At 39.5% G+C, this 26,381-nt stretch overlaps 1 protein-coding gene across 2 annotated transcripts in view; it reads left to right on the top strand.

Moving 5' to 3' along the window:
• The window catches only part of RBKS (ribokinase), a 109,009-nt gene that overhangs the window by 26,697 nt on the left and 55,931 nt on the right, over positions 1-26,381 (top strand). For both annotated transcript variants that reach the window (NM_022128.3, NM_001287580.2), the window contains 4 exons: positions 5,120-5,252; positions 15,594-15,657; positions 16,587-16,649; positions 20,460-20,624. In NM_022128.3, the coding sequence (NP_071411.1) occupies positions 5,120-5,252; positions 15,594-15,657; positions 16,587-16,649; positions 20,460-20,624 (425 nt within the window). The remainder of the gene's footprint in view (positions 1-5,119; positions 5,253-15,593; positions 15,658-16,586; positions 16,650-20,459; positions 20,625-26,381) is intronic.

Below are 26,381 nucleotides of genomic sequence, written 5' to 3'. Positions count from 1 at the left end.
AGCCAAAAGGAGAAAAGATCAGTGCAAAAGCCAAAAAGCAACACATTTGGTGACTTTTGGCTGAAGCCAATATTAGCATGACCTCTTTGGTTGAAAGACTTTTCATCCCCCTATTACCGGGTCATTCCTTCCTTTGGTTCGAATAATCTCTGAGAATCTGTAAAAACCACATCATTGTCAAGAAGTTAAAAGCAATTGATAAGTTGTTCTGGTAACACCTGTCAGTGAATTAACTCAGAGCACAAAACCCAGGCATTTAAGGAGTTGACAAGTATTATTAAACCTGTTTTGCAAGAGAAGAAGCTGGTTCAAAGAGGGAAAAGCTGTCAAAAGTAATACAATCAGTAAGTGGCTCAGGCCTCCTGCCTGGCACACCCAGGCTCTAACCACGTGGCCTCTCATGGCAGGGAAGACTGGGGCCATGTATGAACATTTATCACTGTTCCTTTCAGTCCAACCTGAAGACATTGTGGCATTTTAAAAGCTATGAATTTGTTTTAAATTCAAATATATTTCTTAGGCATGGTTTTCTCTGTTCAGGTTTTCTCCCTCATTCAGAAATTTACACTATTTTTACCTTTAAATGGTAGTAACAATGTATTTCTACTAATACTGTTTCCTTTTCTTTTTAATTTGAGCAATTTAATTTTTCTGTCTTTGACACTCTGTTAAACCTCTTTTTTTTTTTAATTAGAACAAATCATAGTAATGCTTTCATCCCAGGAGACGGTGCTTTGTGCAGATGCTTTCTTGAACCTGAACATAATTTCATGATTTCAATAAGGAAGAAAGATAGGAAAGTCTCATTCAAATTAAATTAGGATTTATAATTCAGAAATGCTTCTGCCTGTTTGTAACTAACTTCCTAGTTGCTCTCTCCACTCTTCAGTTTATTTACTTTATAAAAAATTAAATCCGCCATAAACTGTCTTAGTCTGGGTTTAACAGAAACCAGAGCCTAAGACAGAGGCTTAAGTGCACATAGTCAGTTAGCACTATAACCCCCGAGTCAAGAGCAGGGGACAGGGAAGAAGGAAGAGCGTATACAAAGGTATTTGACATTTGCAAGTTGACCACTGGCTGCTCAGTCCTTCAGGACAGTCTGAAGAGACAGAAGCCCAGGGGTGGAATGAGAGCAGCATTCAGTAAGGCTCTGTTAGGTGACACCTGCGAGAAGCCAGCTGGTGCCCACCAAGAACTGGTGGCTAGTAAATGAGGCAGAGGCCACGTGAATCTGATGTAGTGACAAGTGGTATCGTATAATACACTAAAATATTCTTGTCGTATGTATTTATGTGCATAAGAATATAAAATAACACACAAACTTTTAGTCCCCACCTTTCTTTGTGAATACCTGTCATTTAACTTTTCACTTTTTATGCATGTACATATCATGGGAGAACATATACCTATATCTTTTTCCTTTTAAATAACATAAATCAGCCAGGCACGGTGGCTCACGCATGCAATCCCTACACTTTGGGAGGCCGAGGCAGGAGGATCGCCTGAGTCCAAAAGTTTGAGACCAGCCTGAGCAACATGGCAAAACCCCGTCTCTATAAAAAAATACAAAAAATTAACCAGGAGTGGTGGTGTGCACCTGTGGTCCCAGCTCTCTGGGAGGCTAAGGTGGGAGGATCATCTGAGCCCAGGAAGTTGAGGCTCCAGTGAGCCATTTTTGTGTTCCACTCCAGCCTCAGCAACTGAGCAGACTCTGTCTCAAAAAAAAAAAAAAAAAAAAAATCAGGCCAGGCGCCATGGATCACACCTGTAATCCCAGCTCTTTGGGAGGCTGAAGCAGGGGGATCAGGAGTTCAAGACCAGCTTGGACAATAAAATGAAACCCTATCTCTACTAAAAATACAAAAAAAATTAGCTGGGCATGGTGGTGCATGCCTGTAATTTCAGCTACTCGGGAGGCTGAGGCAGGGGAATCATTTGAACCCAGGAGGCAGAGGTAACAGTGAGCCGAGATAACACCACTGCATTCCAGCCTGGGAGACAAAGTGAGACTCCACCCCCCCCCCAAAAAGAAATGGAACATACTAATCTCCTTATTCCGTGAATTATTTTCTTCACTCGTGTATTACTTGCATCAGGGTTAGGTTTAATGCCATTGTCAACAAGTTGATTTTGCCTTGTAGGAGATACATCAGGACACAGTGATGAACATTTGTTGAATTAGTGCATGAATGAAGGAATATATGACTTCTAGTTACAGTTCTTGCTTGTGGAAGAGGAATGCTGCTGATACTGGGAGTGCAGTGGGCAAGATCTGGTAAAATATGGAGTTGTTATTGTCGGACAGTTGCCCAGTCATCCCTGCCAGTCTCCCCCTGCTTCCCTAATCAACACCTCCACATCCTCATTTCAGAACAGGAATAGATGCTATACGGGGGAGACACAGAAAAGAGACAAAGGGAGGCTGGGCGCGGTGGCTCATGCCTGTAACCCCAGCACTTTGGGAGGCTAAGGCAGGCGGATCACTTAAGGCCAAAAGTTCGAGACCAGCCTGGCCAACATGATGAAACCCCCTCTCTACCAAAAATACAAAAATTAGCCTTGCCTGGTGGCGCACCCCTGTAATCCCAGCTACTTGGGAGGCTGAGGCAGGAGAATCACTTGAATCAAGGAGGTGGAGGTTGCAGTGAGCCGAGATCGTGCCACTGTACTCCAGCCTTGGTGACAGAGAGAGACTCTGTTTAAAAAAAAAAAGAGAGAAAGAGAGACAGAGACAGAGACAAAGGGAGACTCTTACAAAAATCTGTTCAATCAGCAAATATCTGTTAACCTCGTGTCAAGTGACAGACACATTGCATAAAATGGAGAACATGACAGACTTGGTCCCTGTCCTCATGCAGGGAAAGTCTACAGTTAAGGGAAGAAAGAGACAAGAGTAGGGGAAGGATGCAGAAGAAAAAGAGGAGAAATTAGTAAAATACCAAAAGAGTGAAGAATTTCAGTGATCACTGAATTAATACAATGCTTGTGTTAATAGAAGTTGTTTAGAAATGAGTTTAAATCCCAGCCATCTGCTCCCACATCAAACACACCTACTGTACCCATGATTTTGCCCTTCCCCCACATATATATATACATCCCAGTAATAATCTGGTGATTTTTAAATGAATTCTCACAGTTAGTAATAAAAATTACACTTGATTCAAACCAGTGAATTGTAACCCAGATCTAAGTATAGATGTAGTGGAAATCATAAGTTTCTTTAGTGACAGTCTTACTAATCAAGTTATTTGGCCTGTTTTTAGCCACATGGTATATTTTTTCTTTTTCAGGTTGCTCTGAGTGTTGTTTGTAGCAGCATCAGTAAGCCAAGAATTCACATAGTTACTCAATCACACAGATTACTCATCATTGCCTGTTCATAACAGAATCCTAAGATGTTTAAGATTTCTAATGCAAATCAAAATCTCATCATCACTTGTCATTGCTAAATTAAATGACAGGATAATAACATTACATTAAAACCATTTTTCTCTTGATTGAGTACCTTTTTCAGAAGTGAACCTTCTAGATGTATATTTTTTTTCATCAGTACTATAAATGCATTTAGAATCCAAGATAAAAATAGAATTTAAAGGGGAGGAGTGGGATGTTTTCAAATTATTGATGAGGCTCTTTTGAATCTCAACCATATTTGACAGTGTACTGCAAGGGAATGGAGTAGTTCAGCTCAATTTATTGACACTTTTAGAGCTATATAAAGGAGGTTAACAGGTTGAGCTTGGTCTTTATTGAAGCAATCGTGTGTTCTTAGCATCAGTTATATGTCATCCCGTTGCAAACTGGCTGTTAGGACTTGTCATTGCTCTGTTCTAATATAAGATACTGACTTCAGATAGATCACAACCTATGTGGAAAATTAATATAAATTTCTAACCTGTAAAAGCAGTGTAGGTTCTCAGTGGCCTTACCATTGTGAACTTACCTCTTTACCTTTCTTTCCTATCTAAAGCTAGTTAACCTTTTTTGGTCACACCTACCCTCTTTTTATCTGCTCCCTCTGGCCCTTGGCCCACTTCTCTGTGGCCAGCTAGCCAGTGTTCGTGCCACCTGAGCCCATCTTCTTCACTTGCCCTAGAACTCCCCAGAATGCCTCTTTCATTTTAAAGTCAATCATTTCCTTCCATCCTTCAAATATTTTATTTCCTCACACCTTCCATCTTTAATAATATGAAATATAAAAATCTTACCCTGGATCAAACCTTTTATTCTTTTTGCCTCACTTAATACTATCATCATTAGGCAATAATAGCATTATGGTAAAAATTCTTACCTCTTAGAGAAGCTGATGAAGGTATTGACTCAAACAAGATTGGCTATGAAACAATAAGTATTAAATTATTAAATCTGGATGATAGGTGAATGAGGGAAAGGGAAGCCAGTATGCTGTTTTCTCTACTTTTATAGGTTTGTAATCTTCCATAATAAAAATTTAAAAATAACTTAGCTCTTTAGTGTTCCTTTTTTAAAATAGACACCCTTTTTGAGTGAGCACGTGAAATGATGTGGTATGCAGGATGGACTAAGACTAAAACCTGATCCTGCTCTCTGAACACCCCACTCTTACTCTACCCCTTAGTAAACAAAAAAGATTCTTTAGCACCTGGAATTGTAACTTCCCTCTTCTCCTTAGGTCCTGTACTTGATTATCAGAATCCTGGTCTGGTTTAACACTTCCTGCTTCTTGGTTTAACACTTCCTGCTTCTTGTTAAAGTGACCAGATAAACCCATATAGAAATATACATTAATTTCATCCCATTTATTAAATCCCACTGTGAATAAAGTTCTGTGCTGGCATTAAGAAAGAGAATATGAAGGAAAAGTATTCATGAATAACCCTGATGCAGTACAACACTAGCCACAGTAGTGGTCTCTAGGAGAGAGAGAGGAATTCTGTCAAGGAGACTCATTCTTGATAATGATGCAAACTACTAAATGTCATCCTAAAGGAAGAGATAATCTTCGTTGCTTCTGCTTATAGTTCTAATTGTTAAGACTATTTAGAGCTCTACCATATAGCCTTCCCTCTCTTCTAAAGAACTTAAATTGATTACAGTTACCAATATGCTTTTTTCTTCTCTTTTTAAATTACAATAGTCTTACTTCTCGTTTGCCAAAAACTGGAGAAACCATCCATGGACATAAGTTTTTTATTGGCTTTGGAGGGAAAGGTGCCAACCAGTGTGTCCAAGCTGCTCGGCTTGGAGCAATGACGTCCATGGTGTGTAAGGTAAGTACAAAGTATAGTGGAGAGGACTCTAGAGGTAAGAATCTGGTTTTAAGACTGGAGTTCATTGTTTTTAATTTTTTCAACCATTTTAGAGTGAACAGTTCAGTGGCATGTAATACATAGAGTGGCATTTAATACATTCAACCACCACTTCTGTCTTGTTCCAGAACTTTACCATCATTCCAAAACAAAATCCCTTACCCCTTAAGCAGTTCCTCCTCATTCTGTCTTCCCTTTAAAGCCCTGGGAACCACCAGTCTTCATTCTATCTCTATGGATTTATCTATTCGGGACATTTCATATAAATGGAATATATATTATGTGACATTTTGTACCTGGCTTCTTTCACTTAGCATACTGTTTTTGAGGTACAACATTGTAGCATATATCAGTATTTCCTTCCTTTTTGTGGTTGAATAATATTCCATTGTATGGATATACCACAATTTTTTTATTCATCAATGAATGGATTGATGGACACTTGGGCTGTTTCCACCTTTTGGCTGTTATGAATAGCAGTGCTACTAACATGCATATACATCTACTTGAGTACCTGCTTTCAATTCTTGTGGAAGTTTATTGTTTTTAAAGATCTAAATAACAGAGAATAGTCTCCCTTGTCCTTTATACTAATTTCTACCTCATTGAATCCTCTGGGAAGTAGCAGTTCTCAAATAACTTAATGCTGCATTCCCTGAATGTAATGAGTTTGTAACTGGGGTGTGAGAAGTGAGGGAAATTAGCGTACTCCAATGGGTTTCTGTCATCCAGCTTCTAAACAACAGCATGAGTCACCTTGTTTTTAGCAGGTTTCACCGCAGCAACACAGCTTTTGGAAACTTCTTGTAATAACCGGTGATTTACTCATCTCTAAGTCATTTTCTTCTAATGCTGTATCTTAGATCTGAAAAGAATCTGGGCCTTAATGAGCTACATATAACTGAGCTTTTGGCATAGTTTTGTTTTCATGTATGTAGAGATATGATATTGTAACATACAGTATTCCTATTTTTATCCATGCTACCGAAATAATTTGAAAATAAATGGGCTGCCAAAAGTTTTCACTTTTCATTTTTCATGAAATTTTAAGGCGCTAGCATTATAGCATTAGTATAACAGGAAAGGTAGATGATTGTGTTTCTTTGATTTTTAGGGAAAGCCAGCCTGTGTCTGCACATTATTAAAGGGCAAGAAAAATACAAGGAACTTAAAAGAATGAGCTTTCTCCTGTGAACTATGTAGATTTTACCAAAAATTCTCGAAATGTCATTTTTCATTGCAGTCAGCACTTTTCTCTCCACAGGAGTTTTAAATGATGTATAAACTATACAATTATCACTCCATCTGCTAGTAAACTGTAATTTTATTTCTAACCTATGATTAACATAATTTTCACATGGCTATTTGGTCAAAAACATCACGTGAAGCATCAGATTCAAAGCAAGAAACCCTCTTTTGCTAAGATTGAGCTCTTGATAGATTTAAAATATCAGTGTAATTAATCAGCAATTAATTATGTTCCAGGAATTATGGGTCTGTGAGAGGTGGCTGATTAAAAACTTAGGCCTGACCCATCTCATACCTGATTAGCTATGGAGCGTTTGGAGAGTAATCAGATGGTGCTGACTTAATTAAGAGGACCTGGGAACTGGAAAGAGGATGATATAATTTCCTGTGTAGGAAAACTTGGACATAGAATTGGCGTTGGAAGCTATGCACCCAAAATGGCTTCGCTGGGAAGAGGGGAGTTCCTAGAGCTGGAGACATTAAAGGAGAGATTAGAGAACCCCTCTCTTGGATGTTTTATGGAAGCTATTTATGTAGCCATTAAAGTCAAGATTGGATGTCCCCTGGGATCTCTTCCAACCCTAAGATTATGAAATTGATTTTATTTTAGGTCTGTTGAATTTGAGGCAAAGAAAGAAATGACAAAGAGAAATATTTGAGTTATGGAACTGAACGTGGGAAATGAATCCTAAAACCATATGAGTGGATAGGAGAGGAATAGAAGCAGGGGGCTGTATTTTGGGAAATGTTCCAGTTAGGAGGTTGATTAAAGCAAAGGTACCATTTGTGTGTGATGGTTTATGTTAGCATCTGTACAATTTTGAAAGTTCTATACATCTACCATGCCCCTGATTTAGTCACCTAATGCTTAGCACCACAGTGGATTTTAGCCTGTGTGTCTGCCTAGCAGAGGATCAAAAAACATGACTGCAGCTAAAACCTATCCAGGGTAACTTTGGTTAGATAACTTGGAACCTTTAGACATGGAATTATTTAAAAGCTTAAGCAAATTGCATAATATTCTCAGACTTCTTAAAAAGAAAATCATATATTTTTGTAAAAGAAGTTATTATCTGTCCATTAATCATATTTTATCCATTGTGAGATACATTTTTATTAAGCAAATTAGCCAAACTTGCTTTATAGCAGTTTTTTAAAGATGACAAGTTCTAAGTAGAAACCAAAACCATGAAATTTATCAAGATAAAAATGAACAGAAGGAGCAAAAGAAAAACAGGTAAAAATTTTCTATGGCTTTCTCAGCAAGATTTATTTACCTCTTGCTACCTATAACAAACTAAAATTCAAACTCTTATGAAGTAAGATTGATGGCCCAAACAAACTTATATTGAGCTAGGGAGAAATATTTGTTAAGATATTGTGACAAAGAATATTAAATGAGTTACCTCATTATTTATACAGTGATACATGTATAATGAAACACTTCAAGTACTTAAGAGTTAGTCAGTATTTAGCTGAGTCATGGACCAAAGCTACAGTCTAGTGATAACTGGAGATGGTATTTTCAGATTTAAAATCCTGGCAGATATTGTATAAAATGAAAGTCTTCCTCCCAGGGCAAAGAGCCTATTAGGACATCTTTCTTAAATCTTCACCTGAGTTAAGTGTTTCCTGCTCCATTCCATTGAAGCCAAATGTTAAGAAGAGGAAGTTATTCCTAAACATCAAAAGTTGGCAGTTCAGGAGAGGACCATGGTCAAGTAAGGAACTCAAGATGCACTGGCCCAGTATGAGCACAGAAACCATGAGCAGGTATGAACCCAAATGACCCAGGTCAGGAATCAGCAAACTGGAAACACCTTCAAGAAATTACCCTGTCTTGCTTCCTTCAAATGTGAGACTATCAAACTATCCTTCAAATATGAGACTATCCTTCATATATGAGACTATCAAACTCTCTAATACAGGTAGCTATCTGTTTTCCCTTCAGAACCATCAAGCATGAAGTTTTGTGACAGAGGTGATACTGATGCAGGCTGCCCTGAGGGGCTTAGCCAAGGAGGGTTCTTGGCTTTGCCCAGGCAAGAATTTAAGAGTGAGCCAAGGATAAGAAAAAGCAACTTTGTGTGGTGGGGGGGCGGGGGGTAGTAAGAACACTTAACTTGAGATCTACCTTCTTAAGAGCATTTTAAGCATACAATAAAGTATTATGAACTATAGGCACGATGTGGTACAGCAGATCTCTGGATCTTATTTTATCTTGCCAAATGGGCAGGAGGAAACTTGGAGGTGATGGATGTTTATTACACTGATTGTGGTAATGGTTCCACAGATGTATGCATGTATTCAAACCCATCAAAATGTATACATTAAATATATGCAGGGTTTTTATTATAATTATATCTCAGTAAAGCTGTTAAATATTAAAAAAAAAAAAAAAGAAAAAGCAACTTTGATTGAACCAGTGCTGCAGGGCTAACTGATAGGCTATGTGCCCAGAGGGTAGTGTATGGGCTGTTAGCAACTATATTTACATGTACTTTAAATTATATGCTAATTAAGAGGCAGGTTATTCAGAACTTTTTGGAAAAAGGGTGGGGAATTTCCAGAACTATAAAAGGTAACTTCTGGGCCATTGCCATGGCATTTGTAAACTATCTTGGGTCCAGTAGGAGTGTCTTGTGCTAATGAGCAGTGAGAGCAACTAGAGGTCACTTTCCTCTTTTCAGCCAGCGTCTTCATTGCACCATGTTTTGACCAGATCCTGCTTCCACCAGCAGGGTCCAACTGGAAAATAAGACCTGCTGGCCTCCTAACTCGGTACATTAAGGTGGTGCTGTTCAAAGTCCAGTCCTCAGGCTGGTGCCAGGCTGCATGCAGATTGTCACCGGTCCAAACAGCACAGGAATTGAGAGTAAGCAGTTAGGATCATTTATAGCAATTTGACAGAATAACTTTACAACCGTTGAATATAATAGTAATAATAAATTAGGCCTTGTAGTTTGTATGACTCTTTTTTGTTTTCATCTCCTTGTTATTGTATTTTATAAAATTGTTAGTCCACAATGGATTGAAAACAAGAAAAGGAAAACAAGGCCAGTGCTTCTCCACGGATAGCTTGAAAAGCAGTGCATTAGAGTATCCATCACCTTAACCAAAAAGTACCTTCTGTGCTAGATTACTGTGGGAGAATCATCTGATCATGCATTGAGATTTTCATTTTCAGAGATCAAAAATTAGTCACCAGGTCTTTCCAGGTAATATATAATGAGGTGAAATCTGTCCTTTCCTGAACTCTGTTGAAAGACAGCTAGATATAATTAGTTGGCTATGTTGATTGGAATGCTTAGCCATATGTTCAAACAAATGATCCTATAACCAAGCAAATAATATAAACCTTGTATAGGAAGAAATGGTAGAAATGAGAGAAAATAACTGGATTATCTCAAACCTATCACCACTCTCAGATAATCAGGCCTAATAATGGTGATTGCAGCATTAACTTTGTATATTAAAGGTCTTTATTTTTTTCTGAGACAGGATCTCACTCTGTTGCCCAGGCTAGAGTGCAGTGGTGCAATCTGGGCTCACTGCAGCCTCAACCTCCCCGGGCTCAGGTGATCTTCCTGCCTCAGCCTCCCAAGTAGCTGTGACTACAGGCATATTCCACCATACCCAGCTAATTTTTGTATTTTTTGTAGACAAGGTTTTGCCATGTTGCCCAGGCTGGTCTCAAACTCCTGAGCTCAAGCAATCTGCCTGCCTTGGCCTCCCAAAGTGCTGGGATTACAGGTGTGCACCACCAGCCCAAAGGCCTTTTTTTTTTTTTTTTTTTTTCAGAGACAGGTTGCCTGGGCTGTAGTACTACGGTGCTACAGCTCACTGCAGCCTCAAACTCCTGGGCTCAAGCAATCCTCCCACCTCAGCCTCCAGAGTAGCTGAGACTACAGGCATGCAGCACCACACCCAGCTAATTTTTTAATTTTTTGTAGAGATGGGGTCTTGCTGTGTTGCTGAGGCTGGTCTCGAACTCCTGTCCTCGAGCAGTCTTACCACCTCAGCCTCCCAAAATGCTAGGATTACGGCATAAGCCACCATGCCTAGCCTAAAGGCCATTATTAAGGTAAACACCCCTTTATCTAGGATTTAAACAACCAGCAAGCTTTAATAACTGAGATTTTATATATTCTTCTTATGTATTTTGTTATAAGGCCACAAATGACAAGTTAAAAGTTAATATGAAGGATTTATTCAAAAAAGCAACAGCTGGGTTTTGTATGACAACAAATGCAACTTAGTCTCCTCAACCAGCTGTTCACTATAACCCTCAGGCACTGAAAAGTGACAAAATGTCTTCAGTTGCAAGGATTAAATTATATTCATCTTAGTTTTAGTGTTAAACATATTTTCTGTATTCTAATGCTTTGAAATCGGTAACCTGTTTTAATATATGTGATAACTTCTTGAGCAGAATATTCAATTTCATGTGGCCTTGGGTAGGATGTTTTGATATCCTGTGTTTTATTTACCCCAAATGTATGTTGAGGAGTAGAATTACTAGATGGTTTCTGCCATTTGAGGATTCCAAGCAGCCTAAACAACCATTCCTCAGTCATTTTGCAAAATAGAAGTTATGATGCTGACTGAAGTTGCCCTCCTTAGCTTCAGGTCATAGTTCTGGACTCTGGAAGCCCTCCCAAAGCTCTTCTTCAATGCAGAAAGATCCCTCCCAGTGATAAGAGTGAAGGAAGCACCTCAGTCCCCTTAGCTGAAGAAATGCTCTTGTTCCTCATACACCCAGCCCTTTTGCTTTCCATGACCCTTGCTGCATTGTCAAATACAGAAGCCACTAGCCACATGTGGATATTTAGATTTAAATGTAATCAAAGTTAAAAAATTGAATTCCTGTCACACAGTCTGTATTTCGAGTGTCTGTATTGGGCAGAACAAATAGAAAACATTTTCTGTATTGGACAGCACAGATATAGAACATTTCATCATTGCAGAAAGTTCTATTGGATGGCACTACTCTACAATATTCAGGGCGGAACTGAGCCTGGGATTTCCAAAGAGCATGTTGAGTTCTGAGAGTTCCCTTTTGGCTTATGTGCAGGTGCTTGTCCATAGTTGCTCTTGACCTGGCTTCCTTCACGTGGAACAAGTTAACACAGACAGGTTATCTCAGACTATGCGGGTTTCCAAGAATCTTTCTACCCAAAAGTATTTCACTGCTGTAGTCAAAAGAGTGTGAGGGTGCCTTCAAGGAGGCTGTTGGAAACAAAACCTTGTATGGAACCATTCTAGAATAGTTTGGGTGCTTGTAGTCATGTTCCTTCAAGAATGGAACATGACAGCCGGGTGTGGTGGCTCACGCCTGTAATCCCAGCACTTTGGGAGGCTGAGATGGGCAGATCACCTGAGGTCAGGAGTTCGAGACCACCCTGGCTAACATGGTGAAACCCCATTTCTACTAAAAGTACAAAAATTAGCCAGGTGTGATGGTGCACACCTGTAATCCCAGCTACTCGGGAGGCTGAGGCAGGAGAATCACCTGAACCCAAGAGGCAGAGGTTGCAGTGAGCGGAGATCGCACCATTGCACTCCAGCTTGGGCAACAAGAGCGAAACTCCGTCTCAAAAATAAAAAAATAAAAAATTTAAAAAAAAAAGAATGGAACATGACTACAAGATGGGTCCAAGGAAAATGAACAGAAGGACAACTAATGTGATCAAATCCTAAAGAATCTCCAGTAAGCTTTTAAGAAGACTAGACTAACAAATATGAAATCGCCAACAATATAAGATGGTATTGAACTATGGGCTTGATTAGGAATGTCATAGGAGGTGTGGAGATGAGAGGATTAACAAGGGCCAGAGTAGGGAAGGTAGACCTTAAGCTGATACTTGAAAAACAGGTGAGGTTTGATTTAGTGGAGGAGAGAGGGCAAAGGACTTCTAAGTTCTCAGAAATGATGGTAAGGAAACAGACAGGTTTCTTTCTATTGATATATCCAGAAAGGAACAATTTTCTGTGGAAGAATAGAACACACCAGGAGTGACTGAAACCTGGATTGAGACATAGTCCATTGAAGTAATGCTCACCTGCAGGACAGAAAAATAGAAGTTCAGTTCAGAAGTATAGTTCAGAGGTAGCAAGACTAAAGGCCTACAGGAGCCAAGCAGGTAACAGAAATTGCAGTAGGCTAGGTGAAGCCAAGAGTCTATGAGCACTTTAAGGCACTCACCTCTCAGTTCCAGGTGGTTTGCCTTGCAGGAATGTGGACCCAGTGTTACCAGAACCTCTGAATTTTCAGAACCCCCTGGACATCTGTCTGTTTTTGTGAAGTCTTCTAATATTTAAGTATTGAGAACTGATAAAAATAGCAGGGCATTTACACCAAAACCTGCACACAGATATTTATAGCAGCTTTATTCATAATTTCCCAAACTTGGAAGACATCCTTTAGTAGATAAATGGATAAATAAACTCTGGTACATCGAGACAATGGAATATCATTCAGCCCTAAAAAGAAATTAGCTATCAAGGCATAAAAAGACACAGAGGAACTTTAGTTGCATATTACTAAGTAAAAGAAGTCAATCTGAAAAGGCTGCATACTGTGTAATTACAACTGTATGATATTCTGGAAAAGGCAAAACTATGGAGACAAAAGATTAGTGGTTGCCAGAGGCTAGTGGGGAGAGAAGGATGAATATACAAAGCATAGAGGATTTTTAGGGTAGTGAAACTATTGTGTATAGTACTATAATGGTGGGTATATGACATTTTACATTTGTTAAACCCTATAGAATATCCGACACCAAGGGTGAACCCTAATGTAAACTATGGAGTTTGAGTGATAATGATATGTCATGTAGGTTTATCAGTTGTAACAAAGTACCACTTAGTTGCAGGATGTTAATAGTGGGGGATACTAGTTGCCGGAGGAGACAGAGAGTATATGGGAACTCTGTACTTTCTACTCTCTTAGGCTGAGAACCTAAAACTGTTTTTAAAATAAAGTCTAGTTTTTAGAAAACAGTAGTAGGGCAAACAAAACATATCTAGCAGTCAGATTGAACTTTCAGCCCACCAATTTACAACCTCTGCTGTAGATTCAACTGTAGAGTTCAAGCCAAGGTCCAGCCAAGGTAGCAGTCAGACAAATGGTTAGCATTAGAGGGGTATGGGAGAAGATAACAAGGGTGTCCTGACTAGCACAGTGATTGCAGCACCACGGAGGCCAGAAACGGACAGTAGGGAGATGTCGATAAGATGCCAGCATTAGTATCAAAGGCCTTGCAATCATAGTTTTCTGGTTTTGAGCCACAGACCTAAAGGCCTGGCCCCTGCAAATGGCTGGCCAGGCAGAGAAGAGTGCCTGTTCTGAAAGAGCTAGAGGGCTAACCAGATGATTAGGATACACACTCATGCTGACAAAAACAGGGGAGATCCAGTTACCAAAGTGGACCACAAAGCAAGAATGTGGTCACAGGATCCAGTCACAGACAAAGCTACTTAAATTATAGTTCAGTGGTTCAGGGTTACACTAGGCACTAGGCTAACTAGCTTTTTCTTTTCTTTTTTTTCTTTTTTTCTTTTTCTTTTTTTTTTTTTTTTTTTTTTTTTTTGAGACAGAGTCTTGCTCTGTCGCCCAGGCTGGAGTGCAGTGGCACAATCTCAGCTTACTGCAACCTCCGCCTCCTGGGTTTAAGCAGTTCTACCTCAGCCTCTCAAGTAACTGGGACTACAGGCGTGCGCCACCACACCCGGCTGATTTTTGTATTTTCAGTAGAGATGGGGTTTTACCATGTTGACCAGGCTGGCCTCGAACTCCTGACCTCAGGTGATCCATCCGCCTTGACCTCCCAAAGTGTTGGGATTACAGGCATGAGCCACCGCACCCAGCCTGAAGCTAGTCAGGACTTTGTTAATAACAGACAATAGACACCCAATTCAAAATAGCTTAAGCAAAAAAAAATAAAATAAAATTTTTAAAAAGAATGTATTGCCTCATGTAACTGAAAAGCCCAGTGGTAGAGCTGGCTTCAGATGACTTAGGGTTCCATTAGGCTATTAGGAGTCTGTGTCTGTTTGTGTCTGTCACCCTCCTGCTTTCTGTTATGTTTCTCTCTTTTCTTTCTAGCTGTCTCCACATGGTGAGCCCCAGTGGCTGCAGGCTTACATTCTCTTATAGCCAGCAATCTTACTGGGAAGAAAACTTGTCTTCCCTGGTAGTTTCAGTAAAAGTCCCAGGACTGAGTCTTATTGGACTAGTTTAGGTCACATGCTCATTCATGAACCCATCACTGTGACTAGGATGGTGGAACACACTTTTTTTTTTTTTTTTTTGAGACAGTCTCACTCTGTCACCCAGACTATAGTGCAGTGGTGTGACCTCGGCTCACTGCAACCTCCACCTCCGGGTTCAAGCAATTCTCCTGCTTCAGCCTCCCGAGTAGCTGGGACTACAAGGAACATGCTTTTTAATCAGGCCTGGGTCCCTTGGCCAACCTAATCTTGTTGTCTATAGAATGGGACAGAAATAGGTGTCCAAAGGAAAAACTGAAATACCTTTAACAGAATAGATGCTAGGATGCAAAAACACAATTCCATTATACCAAGTTACCCAAGTTAGCTAGGGCCTTTAAAATTTCCTTCTCTTTGCCTCTATGTGTCAGTGTCAAGGGAGAAGATAAAAAGATTCTGGAACATCAGGCAAGTCATGACAAAGATACCCATATTTACAGTGAAGTACAAACAGCTGAGATTCTTCATAAATATTGAGGATTGATGATGGTAGATAACTCTATCTCAGTGGGAATTATCACATGAACAGCTCAAAATGAGAATGACTTAATGAGTGATGTTCATTAAATACTTCACATTTTAAGTAGGATATAAGTGAAACATTATATAACAATTCTTTGGGCTGCAATCAAGTCTAGCATCTTATATTAAGAAGATTAATTAGTTAATGTTTATAAAGTACTGTGCAGATATGCCCTTTTAAAATGCTAAGTATTCTAAAAACTACATTGTAGCATTTTACTAACTCTAAAAGATCTAATATTCATTATTTCTTTGGTACAGGTTGGCAAAGATTCTTTTGGCAATGATTATATAGAAAACTTAAAACAGAATGATATTTCTACAGGTAAAATTCCCACCTTTTTTAAAGTTAGTGTTTATAGCTTTTTTCTGTGATTTTGTTATGAGAAAAATTGAATCTAGAGGAGGATTATTAGACCTTCCCCTGGTGGCCAGAGAATTTCTATGCACAGCTTTGTCCATTCTTGCTTAAATGTCCTTGGGTTGATTCTTCCCTGTACATTCCTCCAGATGGGAATAAAATGATAGGAGGTTACAAACCTTCATCTCATGAACATGTGACAAATGACAAGGAGAAAAAGGTGCTGCATTCACAAAAGATGTTTTAAGAATGTTATAGCTGGCAACAATCATTAGAAGCCATACAGGCTGAAACCATTATTTCACAGAAGAGAAAACCGAAGGTCAGAGATGTTCTGTGATTTCTGCAAGAGCACACAGTTGGTTGGAGCTAGAGCCAGGACTAGAATGAAGATCTTCTGATTCCAGTTCAGGGCTCTTTGCTGCTACCAAAGGCTGCCTGGTCAACATTTCTGTTTATATGCCAGACCTTGGTTCTTGGTGAAATAACAAGCTTATGAGAATGAAAATAATCAAACAAGTTCATTTTATAGATTTGACCTTTACTTTTTATCTCAACTCTGACATTCCTTTCAATGAAGAACATAAGTGTGTTGGTCTAGAAAAATGCATATGTATACAATTATGAATAATTGGGGGGAATCGAAAGTAGGAGCAGTTTGGTGGGTTGTTACTAATGCAGAGAAAAGGTGCAACTACATGTAAAGCTGTCTATTTTTCTTGTTGTATAGATGATGGGTATAAATTAGCACTAATTACTTATTTTTTTTTATCATTCCAGATGGTTAAAGGTTAAAAAGGTTTTCCAAGGATTAGTGTTGTATTGAAATTGTTAAAATAAATTATCCATGCCAGCCTGTATACATGTGATTGTAATTTTCTTTTTTCTTTCAGAATTTACATATCAGACTAAAGATGCTGCTACAGGAACTGCTTCTATAATTGTCAATAATGAAGGTAAGTGTTTTGCATATTGGAGTGTCATTTCATAAGACAGTGTATTTCCAGAGTTAGATCAGAAGCATCAATTTTTACCATAATCCTATGGACCTCTTACTATACCCATCACTCCAAGGCCTAAAACATAGTTTTTCCAATCCAAATATAAATGTGTTTCCCTTTATTTATACTTCTCACATGGATCGTTCAGATAAATTTTTGGACAATTTTCAAAATTGTCAATCCAATATATATGAAGTTGCCTCAAAATAATATGTATATGCTGTAATGTCCCCATTACCCTTCATGTGAACTTATAATTGACATTTGTCTCTAAAAGCAGTCAAGCATTCATCTGTCATTTCAGTTACACTAGGTAAGTATATGTAAATAGGTGCAAAGAAAAGTTTGATGAGTCATATTTATAGAATATGTTCTGAGCAAATGGCAGCAACTAATTACATCCAACTTATCGTTAGTGTTCAATTTTGTCTTTCAACAGCAATCAAATCTCAAAAGTCTATATATACAACTAAGTCTGCCACAAGGCTTTGCCATAGCTGATACATTTATCTTTTAAAATAGTAATTGGGCCTGGCACAGTGGCTCACACCTGTAATGCCAATGCTTTCAGAGGCTAAAGTGGGAGGATCACTTGAGGCCAGGAATTCAAGGCTGCAGTGAGCCACAGTCCCACCACTGCACTTCAGCCTGCGTGACAGAGTGAGACTCTGACTCTAAATAAATAAATGCATGAGTGAATGAATGAATGAATGAATGAATTAAAACAGAGGCTGAGCGTAGTGGCTCATGCCTATAATCTCAGCATTTTGGGAGGCCAAGGCAGGTGGATCATTTGAGGTCAGGAGTTCAAGACCAGCCTGACCAACATAGTAAAACCCCATCTCTACTGAAAATGCAAAAACAATTAGCCAGGCCTGGTGGCAAATGCCTGTAATCTCAGCTACTCAGGAGGCTGAGGCAGGAGAATCGCTTGAACTCACAAGGCGGAGGTTGCAGTGAGCCAAGATTGGGTGACTACACTCCAGCCTGGGCGACGACGGAGCAAGACTCTGTCTCAAAAAAAAAAAAATGGTAACAACCTTCAAGTCAAGTTTTCATAATTTCTGCCAACTGTTTTAATTATAAAAACGCCTACATAAGTTTTTTTAAATCAGAATCAATATTCAGAAGGACCAAGCATTTCCTGGGGCACCTAGGACAGAACCTCATGTGTTGTGGACAGCGTGCTTGTGTTAAATGAGGATTTGTCACAATGTGTCTTTTATTTATAATGCAGCTTTGCAGCATCATTTCTCACAGAAAATATGGTATTTTTAACTCGGCTTTAGTGATTCCAAGTAGCAATAATAACGATATATTTCACCTAAAGGTGGTAGATAAAAGTTTGCATTCTAACTATAGAAAGCCTGTGTTCATTTAAGCTACATTTTAAGTAACTATTCCTGCCAACAGCAGCTCATTCCTTGTCTTAAACCTCTTTTGTTGTTGTTGTTGTTGTTGTTGTTGTTCTAGGACTATCCTCAAGTTCTCTTTCTTATCTATGAACAAAATCTGCATTTTCCATGCAAAGATATAATGTCATAGTGTGTGTCAAGTGCCTATTTGGTAGACCTTGCCTGGTTTACAGTGTACGGTAATGCCCTCAAGACTATAGGTGGTAATAGAAGAATTAGGACAAATACACAGAGATGGGACAATCAGCTCCTTTAAATGAAGGAGTGAGTTTGCAAGATAAAGTAATGAGTTTAGTTTTGACTAGTTAAATTTGAGGCATGAATAAGCTAGCCATATGGCATTATCCATCAGACAGCTATAGTCTTGGGCTTGCTGCTTAGCAGCTAAGGCCAGGCCAAAAATTTGGATCTGGGAGACAGCAACATGGAAGCAGCAGCTGACTCCAACAGAGAAAATGAGGTCACTGAAGAAAAGGAAGGAGAGATGCTGTCTTTCAGCAAGTGGGAACTTTGAATTTTTCTAGGACTGAGGTTAGGTTTATGCTGAACCATCCCCACTTTATTAAGTCTTCCTCGTGGCCAACAAACACATCTGTGGTAAGATGATAGGATAGAATTTGTTCTGTGTTGAGAGGTGATTTTAGGTCATGTCTGTACAAGATCAGCACGAGCAGCCCGGAGCACAGAAAATGCCTGCTACAACTCATTCCTCCAGATCAGTGTTGTCCAATAAAAATAAAATGCAAGCCTCGTGTGGAATTTTAAATTGTCTAGTAGCCACATTTTAAAAAGTAAAAAGGAACAGGTAAATTTAACTTAGGCCATATATTTAACCCAATATGTCCAAAATATTATCATTACAGTGTGTAATCAAAAATTTATCTTGGCTGGGTACGGTAGCCCACACCTGTAATCCCCGCACTTTGGGAGGCCAAGGCGGGTAGATCACATGAGGTCAGGAGTTCGAGACTAGCCTGGCCAACATAGTGAAACCCCATCTCTACTAAAAATGCAAAAAAAAATTAGCCAGGCGTGGCGGCACACCCCTGCAATACCAGCTACTTGGGAGGCTTAGGTGGGAGAGTTGATTGAACCCAGGAGGTGGAGGCTGCAGTGAGCCAAGATCGCACGACTGCACTCCAGCCTGGGCAACAGAGTGAGACCCCAAAATTTATCTTAATTTTTTTTTAATTTTTAAAATGGTAAGAATAAATGGATATTTTACCTTATTTCCTTTGTACTATCTTTGAAATCCGCTTGTATTTTACTTGAAGCACACCTCAGTGGACTAGCCACATTTCTTTTTTTTTTTTTTTTTCTGAGACAGAGTCTCACTCACTCTTGCCCAGGCTGGAATGCAATGACACAATCTCAGGTCACTGCTACCTCCGCCTCCCAGGTTTAAGCGACTCTCACGCCTCAGGCTCCTAAGTAGCTGCGACTGCAGGCACATACCACCACGCCCAGCTAATTTTTGTAATTTTAGTAGAGATGGGTTTTCACCATTTGACCAGGCTGGTCTTCAACTCCTGACCTCAAGTGATCTGCCCACCTCGGCCTCCCAAAGTGCTAGAAATTATAGGTATGAGCCACTCTGCCCAGCCAGGACTAGCCACATTTCAAATGTTCAATGGCCATGTGTGGCTCGTGCTCATGACTACCATGTTGGACAGCACAGCTCTTAAGGGTTCACCTTACAGATGAAATGCACCACCACCCCTGCCTCATTCAGGTGGGATTATAGACAGCAGGTCCAAGTAATAAGAATATATCAGATTCCTTAGTTCTGTTTCTGTTTGATCCATTATAGTATAAGCCAGGTATCCCTCTCTCCTCTATATCTGATACAATTTTCTATCTGTTAGATATTTAAAATGTGTTTTGATTGACAGAATCACTTTTTAGAATACCATAGGGTACACACATGAACTGCTTGCATACTACAGTGTCATACAAGTTTATTCCTATTTATATTCATCTCTATGGCATCTGTCATTTAGGATTCAGAACCTTTACCGCATACATATACTAGCTATTTTCTATAAAAGAAATGTTTAAAGTATGTTATATGTCATTTCTCAACTAATATTCTTTATATATAAGAATATTGGGAAAATCTTTTTAAGATTTTGCTTAAGGTGATCAGAATAATGTGCATCTTACAGAGATATTATAAAAGATACATTTGGAACTCAAAGTTCAAGCTGAATAACCTAGAAATGCTAAAATTAATACTTAATAACACATTTTGTATAATGACTTTACAAGGGCGATTGTATTCATAACACTGCAGAATATCATTTGCTTGGCTTTGTTTAGTTTTAATATAATAGGTGGAATTTCTTTATAGGCCAGAATATCATTGTCATAGTGGCTGGAGCAAATTTACTTTTGAATACGGAGGATCTGAGGGCAGCAGCCAATGTCATTAGCAGAGCCAAAGTCATGGTCTGCCAGCTCGAAATAACTCCAGCAACTTCTTTGGAAGCCCTAACAATGGCCCGCAGGAGTGGAGGTAATTATACATATTTGTCATTCTTTCTATAAAAGCTTTTATCGCTGTCTTAATTAAAGTTAACCTTTTAAGTTAAGCAAAGCAATACTCTTTCTGTCGTAAAATATTCTTTCTTCCATCTGTGAGATTCACAGTCTTGTGGTTCTTGATAATGTTAGAAAACCTTGCAAACAGGGTAAAAAAAAAAACATGAGTAGCATTTCCGATATCCCGCAATATAAATCTTCAATGTAGCTGGCAGAAATGGTACAAGTAGAATTAGAATTCCTGTAATTCCAGCTACTCAGGAGGCTGAGGCAGGAGAATCGCTTGAACCCTAGAGGTGGAGGTTGCAGTGAGCCGAGATCGCTCTGCTGCACTCTAGCCTGGGTGACAAGAGTGAGACTCCGTCTCAAAAAAAAAAAAAAGAATTCCTGAATCAGCCCCTTGTCCAAGGTACACTCTAGGTGGTGAAATGTTTTCTACTCTGAGAAGCAGAGGTTAAGCTGCATGTCATACATACAAATACATGCATACATACAAAAGTAACTGGGGCAGCCCAGTTACTTTTTGACAAACATCTCTAGGAATTGAAGATTAGGTTTTTTCTCCTTTTTGTAAAACTTTATCATCTTTCAATAAACAACAAAAGATTATTTATATGTAATATTTTCTATGTTATCAATGTCCATTGACATTGCCTCTTTTGTTTTTGATTTTGGAAATTTTCAAACCTACAAAAGCAGCAGAATTGTACAGTGAAATCCATCACCCAGCTTCCAGTTATCAACCTGTAGCTAATCTTGATTCATCTTTTCTCCCACTCACTCCTCTTTTCTCACCTCCAGCAAATAACAAACTTTTTAAAAATCCAGATGATTTATTTGTTTGCTTCCTTTTCACCACTGACTAGTGGGGAAAGCATCTTCTGAATTAGAATCCCATTTCTGTCCCTTGTCAGCTTCGTGGTCCTAGCAGAATTACCTGATTTGTCTGAGCCTTTTCAGTAAAATGCATATAGAAATACTCCATCTGCAGAATTGTTCTCAGGATGGAATAAAATAAAATAGGATGCCAAGCATGGTGTAGTACATGGTGGTAAATCCCAATTTTTTCCTCTTCAATCCACTTCTCTCTTTAAAGTTAGGATAATATCCTGATCAAGCATCATTTGGTGAAAAAAATCAAAATAAATAGTAGCCACTCTAACATGATGACTTCTTGATATTGTGGCAATAGTTCTGTGATTTTTTTAAAGAATAAAATAGAGAACCACACTGACTATTTCTCAAGATACAAAACTAAAAAGAAAAAAGAAAAAGAACAGTGTGTGTGTGTGTGTGTGTGTGTGTGTGTGTTTATATAAGTGATTTCTCCCAAAGTGTGTAGTGTTCTACATAGAAATAAATGGAAAATAAGTCACTGAAATGATTTTGTGGAGAATTTTAAAATGTTCGTCCTGATTTAACAAATTTTCCTCTTGGCAAAACAACATGCTGTGGTAAATTTTCCCTGACATTTAGTGTATTTTTAATGGACATGAAGCTGTCAGAAAGAATTCTAAGCCAAAACCCATTTGGTTCCATTTTCTTGGAGTGTCACAGTAAAGTCTAATGCTTATGGTTACGCATTCTCTGCACCGTGCCCATCTCAGCAGAGTGATGTGAATACAGGGTGCCACCCTGCTCCTGCTCTTGTCTTTCTTTGTATAGATCAAAGCACATTCTCGTGTAACTTCTCTTTTTTTCCTACTATCCCTTACTGCTCAGAGATCACTGTTCCCTCTGTCCTAGTCTAGTTGCCTGTTACCTACCCTGCTTGTGAAGGAGAGAAAGATACAGCAGCCACAGTTGAGGAGCTAACCTTTCACAGGTGAGAATAGAGTAATCCGGATGGGCAGGCAGCCTACCCTGGGGCTGTCATTGGGTGGGGTCCAGAAAGGCTTCCTCCATCACCTTCCGTGTAGCTCTTCCAGTTGGGAGCTGGAGGACCCAGGACAGCAGGAAGCGGGGTAGGTGACAGTGGGCCACAGACCACTTGGCCTACTTCACACTTTTATTAAGAGCCAGCATGCCTTGGTATTAATTCTGCATGAACTTCCTTATATAATAATAGCAGAAATAGTAATACCATGCATTTATATGTACTTTACATCTTATAAAGTACTTTCGTACACATTTTACCCTCAGAAAAACCTTATGACAAAGATATGGCAGGCATTGTTCTCTCAGATTAAAGGTGAGAAGACTGAGACTGAGAGGTTAAGTCATTTGTTCAAACAGTGTCGCACTTTAAGTTGAAGAAACCATGATTTCAGACTCTAAGACCCAAGTTCTGTCTCCTAGTTTAAACCACACTTTAAAGTGCCACAACCCATTGATTCCAACAAACTGAGCCTTTATGAAGAGTATCTCTAGAAAAGTCAAGTCCATAAATTTTAACACTGTCCAGCACGTGGCCTAAGCTTTATGTGTTTTTGCTGCTCAAGAAACAGAGAAGAGGCTCTACAGTGTTTTCAGCACTGTAACCCCAATAGAACTTACACACACACACACGAACACACATGCACACAAGCACACACACTCATGTGTCCATTACTCCTCCAGTCCGGTGGCTTTCTCTGGCCAAGTCAGCTGGTCCCTATTTGGTAGATACCGGCCAGATGCAGCTTAGATTCTATTCCATGAGGAGGGTGTGTGTGTGTGTGTGTGTGTGTGTGTGTGCGCGCGCGCGTGTGTGTGTGTGTGTGTGTGTGTGTGTAATGCATCATCATTCTCATATGCAAGAAGAGTGGTATCCCAGCACTTTGGGAGGCCGAGGTGGGTGGATCATGAGGTCAAGAGATCGAGACCATCCTGGCTAACACGGTGAAACCCCATCTCTACTCAAAATACAAAAAAATTAGCCGGGCATGGTGGTGGGTGCCTGTAGTCCCAGCTACTCGGGAGGCTGAGGCAGGAGAATGGTGTGAACCCAGGAGGCGGAACTTGCAGTGAGCTGAGATCGCGCCACTCCACTCCAGCCTGGGTGACAGAGCGAGACTCCATCTCAAAAAAAAAAAAAAAAAGAAGAAGAGTGGTATAATGAAAGGAGACCATTGGTTTGGGAATTGTGAAATATGGCTTTAAATTCATAATCAATCAGCAAATGGGGGATCTCAGTCAAGTAAGTCAGTTCCTCACTCTGGACGTCATTTTCTTCTTCTGTGAAACCAGAATTGGGCTGACAGCTCTCACAGTTCTTTCATGTCACTTTGGACTGATCCCAGAGCAGAGTGGGCTTAATGATCTCTTGAGCACTGAGCACCCTACCCACTGCCCCAGGAAGCTGCCTATGTGCTGAACAGCATTATTCCGTCTTCAAGAACGATGATAAAGTCTTCATCGTCATCATCATCTATGGGTTTTCTTATCACAGTTCCATTATCTTTACTGCTTACAGGTAGTGAATTTTGAATTAAGCACATTGCATAACTAGATTATGCTAATATATCAGTTATGAAAATCCAGAGGAAAAGATCCCTACATCTTTGAATATACTGTCTCAAAACTCTCTGTCGCTATCAAAATGAAAGCATTGATTTTTAAAGACATAGTAGCTACAACACCAAAAATCGGTAGCCCTGTATAGCCACCCCCATCCCCACCAGGCCATGAAGCTATGAGGTAGGCCCACTGAAGAGCCAGTGCTGCAGCTGCTTGTGATGAAATTATGCATGTTGGTTCTGGTCTTTATATCCATTTCCAAGCAAATGGAACAGTACATAAACAATTATAAATAATTGAGATTGTAAAATTGCCAAAGTTAAATTATCAGTATGATACAAAGTATCTTTTAATGCCACTTCAGTCCTTTTGCCTTTGGCAAACAAAACTTCTTATCTGGCCATCCAGACTTTCACAATGACATTGTCCAGCACATAGCCCAAGCTTTGAGTGTTTTTGCTGCTCAAGTCACAGAAAAGAGCCTCTAGAGTAATGGACAGCAAAGCCAGTATTTTGAGTGTCCCAACATGCTCACAGTGTCTTCACTCAGGGTGATTTTCTTCCCCGGTTTCTCTGAGCTAATAATTAGGGCCTTCCTAACTGTCCAGCCCCTGCCCTCCGTGACAACACCATAAAGAGTTTCTGCCTCATTTTCCTGCCTTTTAGCCTATACAACTGCTCCTCCAGGCCTCACCAGTTCCTTATTGACATTATTGTGCTATCCATTAACATGCAGTTAAGATAACTAGGAGTTTAGTTCATCTGACACTGTAATTAATAATAATTACTGTTGGGTGCTACCAGTCACCTCTGCAACTCCAAGTTACTCCATGGTACAGTCTGTGTTCTCTAGCTCTGCCTGGTCCCAGGATGACATCATGGCTTCCACCTTGTCTATTACAGATTTGCATTCTTCTTTGATTAACTGCATCTACTAATTTATGTTTCTTTCATCATGGTGGAGTATGCTCATTTGTGGTAGCACAAGCTGAGAAGAATGCTTTCTTTATGGCATTTACACTTTTCCCCTAAATTTAGTTACCAGTCAGACTCTAAGCCTATGTATCCAGTTACTATTGAAGAATGCTGTCCCTCAGTAAAGTACAGGCAAATAAGGTTGATTTTTATACAGTATTTACAGTAAAATTATGGAATTCCTTATTCTAGCAATTGGTACCTAAATTTTAATGTAATTTTTTCCTTAAAATTTGCTTTTATTGTGGAAAATTTCAAATATATATAGACATACAGAGAATAGTATGGTAAACCTATATATACTATCATTTAGCTTCAACAGTTACCAACATGTGGCCAGTCTTTTTTTCTACTTTTAAATTCCATCTTTTATTTTAGACACGGGGGTACATGTGCAGACTTGTTTTTGTTTTGTTTTTGTTTGTTTGAGATAGAGTCTCATTCTGCCCGCCCAGGCTGGAGTGCAGTGGCATGATCTCAGCTCACTGCAGCCTCCACCTCCCATATTCAAGTGATTCTTATGCCTCAGCCTCCCAAGTAGCTGGGATTACAGGCAGGCACCACCACACCCAGCTAATTTTTGTATTTTTAATAGAGATGGGGCTTCACCATGTTGGCCAGGCTTGTCTTGAACTTCTTACCTCAGGTGATCCACCTGCCTCAACCTCCCAAAGTACTGGGATTACAGGCATGAACCACCGCACCAGGCCTTCATATGCAGATTTGTTACATGGGAGTATTGCGCCCAGGTAGGGAGCACGGTACTCAATAGGTAGCTTTTCAACCTGTGCCCCTCCCTGCTCCAGTACTCTGTAGTGTCTGTTGTTCCCATCTTTCTGTCCATGCGTACTCAATATTTAGCCCCCACTTATAAGTGAATACATGTGGTATTTGGTTTTCTGTTCTTATTTTAATTTGATTAGGATTATGGCCTCCAGCTCCATCTATGTTGCTGCCAAGGACATGATTTCATTCCTTTTTACGGCTACATAGTATTCCATGGTATATATGTACCACATTTTCTTTATCCAGTCCACCATTGATGGGCACCTAGGTTGATTCCATGTCTTTGCTATTGTGACTAGCATGGTGATGAACATACAAGTACATGTTTCCTTTAGGTATAATGATCTGTTTTCCTTTGGGTGTGTACCAGGCATAGGATTGCTGGGTCAAATGGTAGGTCTATTTTAAGTTCTTTGAGAATCAATCTCCAAACTGCTTTCTACATGACTGAACTAAGTTACATTCCTGCCAACAGTGTATAAGTGTTTCCTTCTCTCTGCAGCCTCACCAGCATCTGTTGTGTTTTGACTTT

The sequence above is a fragment of the Homo sapiens genome, chromosome 2, assembly GCF_000001405.40.
Source record: "Homo sapiens chromosome 2, GRCh38.p14 Primary Assembly".
In the NCBI taxonomy this organism is placed as follows: domain Eukaryota; kingdom Metazoa; phylum Chordata; class Mammalia; order Primates; family Hominidae; genus Homo; species Homo sapiens.
This window is presented reverse-complemented; position numbering and strand designations above follow the sequence as displayed.